This window comes from Homo sapiens, chromosome 17 (genome assembly GCF_000001405.40).
Source record: "Homo sapiens chromosome 17, GRCh38.p14 Primary Assembly".
NCBI classification, from domain to species: domain Eukaryota; kingdom Metazoa; phylum Chordata; class Mammalia; order Primates; family Hominidae; genus Homo; species Homo sapiens.
In genome coordinates this window covers 10,930,167-10,937,013 of record NC_000017.11, presented here as the reverse complement: position 1 = coordinate 10,937,013, position 6,847 = coordinate 10,930,167, and positions in this window count along the sequence as shown.

The following is a 6,847-nucleotide window of genomic DNA, read 5'->3' as shown; positions in this document are numbered from 1 at the left end:
GTAGGGTTTCTAAACCTCAGGATCGAGCAAATAGCATCTGACTAGAAAGGTCTTAGAGGCTGTCTTGTCTGACCCATCAGATGGTATGTAACTTGAAGCCAAGATCTCTTTACTCAGTGTCTCTGACACAGAGGCCTGGTACAGAGCAGAGGCTCAATAAATACTGGTTGGATGGATGAAATACACAGATCGGGAAACTGAGGCAAAAGAGGTATGGTTATTGGCCTCAGCTCCTTAAGCAAGAGAGGGCAGAGCCGGGAATCAGCCTTAAGTCTCTTTATTCCCTGATCTTAGCTGCTCCCCGACACCACATTGATGCTCTCAGCCACTTCCTCTGGGGCTGCCAGCCTGTCTTCTACATGCAAAGCTTTGGCAGGCACAAGGCCCACCCACATGATTTTTTTCCATGCCACTGTCTCAAGATTCACTTGTAAAATATGAATGCTACTCATCCCTCTCAGTAGCCAAATACTAGGACATCAGCTGCTGCACCCTGTTTCTAGCAGAGGGAAAGGGCTTCCTGTCTCTGTTACATTTTATCCTCATAGAGTGCAATGCTTCCAAACTCTGTATCACTCCCACTGGCTGCTTGCAAGACTACCTAAGAGCCACCAGGCAAAAGGATATTAGAAAGCATATTCATTCAAAGAAATAAAATCATTCCTCCCACCTTCCTTTGGGCTCTGATCTCCAGGTAGTAGGCAGAATAGAAGATGTGTTTCTGGATCAGAAGTTCTGGTTGCAAGGTAAGAGCTACATAGACTCCTAAACAAAACATCATGTGTTTGATCATTCTCCCTATTTCTGAACACACATTTCTCCTTTCTGTAAGAACCAGAGCCCACTGAGAGATTCCCATTTCCTCCCTCACGACTTCTAAGAGAAGTCATCCTTGCTTCCCATCAAAAACAGATGCAACTGGTCTGTCTAGGCACTGCCGAAAAAAATATGGCTTTTCTAGGGGCGAGACCTATGCTCCTTAGCACTGAGGGCTCTGTGTGCTACCTACTTGCATTTTTCATGAGGTGCAAGTGGACGAAATTTTCAAAAACACTCTCATAGAAGCTGCAGAAGATGCTGTGTTATATTGAATTGTGAAGAACATAAATCACAGTGTAAAAGGCCCATTTTCTGCTTAGAAATGATGACTTTGACCCAGGCAGTCTTCGCTTTAGTCCCAAGAGGGCAGCTCCCACTCCTAAGGCAGAGCAAGAGACTCCAAGTCTCTCCCTAGAGACTTCAAATCATGCCCCATCTTTATCTTTACTCCAAGGCAGGGCTTAAGATGAGTAACGATGAAGGGGAGATGCATCTGCTCTAGGTACTACTCAGGATTGGGTGAAGATGTCACATCAATGCTTGCAGCAGTACTCCTGGTACCAGGTCACAAAATTCAGTCGTCTGGCGCTGTTTACTGAAGAGAGCACCACATTTGCTCTCCTTAAGCCAACTGTCCCAGCATTTCAACATCACTCCTCCTGACCCCTCCAGCCTCCCAGTCTCCCAGGAGAAACTCAGCCCAGGGAATACAGTCTAAGGGAACTAATTAAGAGATTTCTGTGGTGCAACAGTAGCTTGATCCTGATTTAACAGATATAATAAATACTTCAAAAATACCAGGCTTCAATACGAAAAAAATAAAATAAAATAAAATAAAATAAATGTAGCTTTCTTAATATCTAGAGCTGACTTTAATTTCTGGCTCTGAGCCTCCAAACGGCCCTGGAGTAGGTAAAATAATATGATCCGTTCAGTTTTCATATTCCAATGTGATTTTTCAAATTAAATCTGGGGGCCAGGCTCAGTGGCTCACGCCTGTAATCCCAGCACTTTGGGAGTCCGAGGCAGGCGGATCATTTGAGATCAGGAGTTCAAGATCAGCCTGACCAACACGGTGAAACCCTGTCTCTAGTAAAAATACAAAAAATAAAAAATAAAAATAAATAAAAATTAGCTGGGTGTGGTGGCGTATGCCTGTAGTCCTGGCTACTCCGGAGGCTGAGGCAGGAGAATCACTTGAACCCGCGAGGGGAGGTGGAAGCTGCAGTGAGCAAGATTGCACCACTGCACTCCAGCCTAGGCGTCAGAGCAAGACACCATCTCATAAATAAATAAATATAAATAAATAAATAAATAAATAAATAAATCTGGAATGGTTAACTCTTTCCCAGTCTGATTTTGAAATTATAACAATGTCATTCCTTTCTGTACTTTCCTTGCATTTTTCCCAACCAGCTCTGTCTTCCTTCTCTATCTTCTATTTTTCCCAACCCATTCCATTGAGTTGCAGCACCTCAACTCCACTGAGTCGCACACCTGAGGGCGGCAGTGCTGTGATCATCTTTTTAATTGGCCCAACTCTGGTGGAGCTGAGAAGAAGCTGTCCATCTTGGTCACTCATAAGCTGGTCTCTTGCTGACCTGCTGCCTGAGCCCTCTTTTTCTGTGTTCTCAGTGCTGGCCTCCAGAAGGCTGGCTCTGGCCATGGGAAACCAGCAAATTGTCATAGGGGCGATTAGTTCCAAGGTTCTTATCAGGGCAGACCTTCCACCAAAAGATTTTAGGGCACTTTCCATTCTTTCCCTCTGTATTTGGCTGTATACATCTTGAATCCCCCCACAGCATACCTCTGGGGCCAATACAGTGACAATCTTGACAGATGCTCATGTGTCCTTGCTATCCCTCAACTCAAGACTGACAAATTTTGAGAAATTTATTCTTTCACCTTTGACAAATATGCAAATCTAAAAAGGGGTCTAGGTCTTAGACTAAGCCTACATGTTTCACACTACCAGGGATCCTAGGTCAAAAGCCAAGAAATAACCTGTCACCCTTGCTTATTCACAAATACTCTTTTATATCAAACAAGATAATGAGAGGCAGGGAGAAGAGTAAGCAAAGGCTGCCTAATAAGGTGTCTTTACTGTGAAGCTAACAAAATTTAAGCTTCACAACCCTTCACCTACACAGGCTACTTCCACATTCCTGGAGGGACCTAGTAATATTTCTCCACAGTCACTTTGTTATTGTGAAATTTTCAAAAGTCAAATATTTTAATCTCAATTGGTCAGGACCAGTATTTCTTCTTTGACTTCTCCTCCATCATACCTTCTTTCATATCTGGTGGCACTGGGATGGCCATGAGCATTTTGGAGATACAGTTAAAGGTAAATTGAGTTGGGAATATAATTTGAAGTTAGGTGGATATATTTACATGGTTGGCAGTCACTTCCATATATAACAAAGTTATTGCTAGCTGTCCTGACAGAGTAATGGCTTCCAAGAGGAATCCTAATGTGCAGTCTACCGATCACCCAGTGCCTTGACTTTGTACAACAAGGTGCAGGGCCAGAGTTGTGTCACCTATAACCACGGCCTACAGCTCCCAGCAGAGAAAGCTCAGGGACAGTGGAAGCAAAATGACATTTCAAAGTTGATATGGTTCGGCTCTGTATCCCCACTCAAATCTCATGTTGAATTGTAATCCCCAATATGTTAGAGGTGGAGGCTGGTTGGAGGTGATTGGATCACGGGGGTAGTTTCTAATGGTTAAGCACCATCCCCCTATTGCAGTCTCATGATAGAGTTCTCATGAGATCTTGAGATCTGCTTGTTTAAAAGTGTGTAGCACTGCCCCGCCCCCACTCTCTCTCTCCTGTTGGCCATGTGAAGATGTGCTTTCTTCCCCTTCCCCTTCTACTATGTAAATTTCCTAAGGCCTCCCCAGAAGCAGAAACCTGTATAGCCTACAGAACCATGAGCCAATTAAACCTCTTTTCATCGTAAGTTACCCAGTCTCAGGTATGTCTTTATAGCAGTGTGGGAATGCACTAACACAAAATTCTGTTTCCTACCTGACATGGCATATCTGCTGACCTTTGCACATTCACATTAAGATGGGGCCGGCCTGCCACTGACGGCAAAGGGCTGAACTCGACATTATGAGGCTCAAAGAAGACTTGAAAGTGGATGTGTTTAGGTACAGCTACTTTCACACTCCTATGGTCAAGGTCAGTGGTTCTCACTGAGGGGCAGTTTTGTCCCCCAGGGGACATTTGGCAATGTCTGATCTTGAGCAGGAAATATAATATCTCTTGACACTGTCTTATCATCTATAAACTGAGATAATATCTATCTTGCAAGGCTACTGTGAGAATTACATGAACTAATGTAGTGAAGTGTCCTGTACAGAGCTTGGAACATATTAGGGGCTCCATAAACAAATGTTCTATAAACATTTATTTCTTTGATAACCAGATAAGCAAAGGCAGAATTATCATACATGCAGTCAATTTCATTTATATGCAAGTCACTTCTAAGACAGTTTCCAAGTGTGCATTGTATCTAAAAGTGGGACTTTCTGTACCATTAAATGTGAATAAATACAGTAGCCCAGTAGAATCACTGAACTATGGGGAAGAACCACTGAAAAGCCTTCTAGGAATGTGGTTGAAATTCCAGGCACAAGACGAAGGAACAGAAAATTGTTCATACATTTCCTCTTATTCAGAAAAATATGAGCTAAAGCAGGAAGCTCAGCTCCTATTGTTGAGAGCAGCAGGGAATATTAGGGGCTGTGTGTGCTGAATATATATTTTTGTGTATTATCTTGTAAAGAGCGGCAAATTTGGCTTCATAACAGTGAGATCAAGCATAACAAATTTACTTAAATTCTTGGAGTGCATTACTGACTCACACAGCTTTTTTATATATTTCACCCCTAGAAAAGAATTTAATAACCTCTCTGCTGCATTCTTTGTCTGGGTAAAAAGCAAGGGAAAAGAGTATGAGTGGATTTGATAAATTACAACTTGTCTTGTGCATAGGACAAAACTCATTTGGCTGTTGCAAACGCAGAAAATCGGCATCTCCTGTGGATTAAAAAAAGCTGATATAGCTTAGGAGAAAGGTGAGCTTGTCCTTCTGCCCTTTGAAGCCTTAAGAACCCTGCCTGTGGGTTACACCACTGTGAAAATTCCACTGGGACAGAATTTCATGGCTGCCAGTGTTCACCTAGGCAGGTGTCCACAGAACTGGAGAGTGGTGAATATTCTGTTTGACCAAAAGGAATACAGACAAATGTCTGATGCTTGAGTGTGAGTGGCTGCAGGTCACACGTGGGAGCCCAGCTGATTGGCAGAGCTTAACAGTTCTTTGATTCATTGGGGCTTAGAATTGGCTAGATTGTGTAGGACAGTGCTGGACCCAAAAATCTGCTCTTAGCAAAACTTAACTTGCCATAATTAAGGCAGATTCACAATTACCAGCACATCACCTTTGACCTCTCTCCAGGTGAAGATGGGTCTAAGAATTTGCGAGTCAGAACATGTGCAGCCGTGGAATTCTGGCCCAGTGGAATCTTCATAGGGGTGTGCATGCGGCAGGATCCAATCCCCTGGGATTTTATTACCAAATGTTTGCTGAAATCTCCACCCTGGCTCTTTAGGTAGCAATACTGCAATACTGTAGTCAGAGGTTGAAGGGGACCCAGAAGACAAGCCCAGACATCATTGTCCTAGTCCTTCTCGAATTTGTCCAGTCCCATAAAGGGTTATTCAGCTTCTCCAGCAGCTGGAAGACTCCAGGATGAAAACAAATCACTTTCTATAACACTATCGACAGCTGCTCCAGATTTGCAGGATTTTTCCTTTGTGGCGGATTAGTTATTTAACTTGGTGAAGGTTAATGACTCATGGGGTTTGAGTCTGGCTGGATCAGTAGCTCACAGTCCTGACTACCCATTAGAAACTCTGGAGGTGCTTTTAAAAAATGTCAATGCCTGTGCTCCACCACTGAAGATTCTAATAAAGATGGACTAGGGTGAACCCCAGGGAGCCCAAAGCTTTGAAAGCTCCCCTGGTGTTTCTGATGTGCAATAACTGGCTGGAGAAAGTGCAAAGCATAAGAGAGTGTCTTTAGAAGAGACAGCAGGAAGCATTTCTCACCACACATGTAAACACCAACCCAGCAGTCCCTGAACTGCAAGGCCATGGAATATCAGTTTATTTTGCGGCTAATGAAGGATAAATAGACCTTTCCTAAAATTTTTGCTTGGAGGCCCTGAGTGTCCTCAACTACTCAGAACTAACTAGTGCTACTTTAAAGGTATGACCTAAAGTAGAGGCTGGGCAAGGAGGAGGGACTATCAGAAAGGAATGCTATAGACTTCTAGGTTGGATTATTTGGTAATAAGACCCATGTCTGGTCCCACCACTGCCCCCAGCCACCTTAATGGACTCAAAATGCAAATAGTTCCTCAATTCTTACCAAGAACCATTCCATGTTCCCATAAGCAACGTGCTCCCCTATTCTTCGTATAGACTGAATCAAACCTTTCCTGGTTTTCCTTTTACTCCCTTGACTGGACTTTCTCTGACTCTATTGCCTTCATTCTGTTCTTTGTGGTCCTTTGTGTTCTATCCTTTACCCAGTTCTCTTCCCATTTGACCTATTGTGCTGTGAGATCTCTCCTGTCATATGCAGCTTGCTGGCTCCCACATCCATCGCCTCCAGCCTATACCTCTCCCTGAGATGAACACACTACCAAGCAAATTCCCTCACTGGATATCCCACTGACATCTACATTCAATAGTGCAAAGTGGAATTCACCATCTTCCTTTCCAAACGTGTTTCTTCCTCCTGGGTTTCCTAATTTCTTGAAAGATGCACCATCCACCAATACCCAAGCCAGAAACCTGAGAGTCATCAAGGTCTTCTTTCTCTGACTCCTCTACCTAGTTAACTACTCACTAAATCCTCTTAATTTTATCTGTTAAATGTGTCTCAAATCCAAACACTTTTACCTATGCCAATGCCCTAGTTCAGGCTATCATCATCTCACCTGGAAC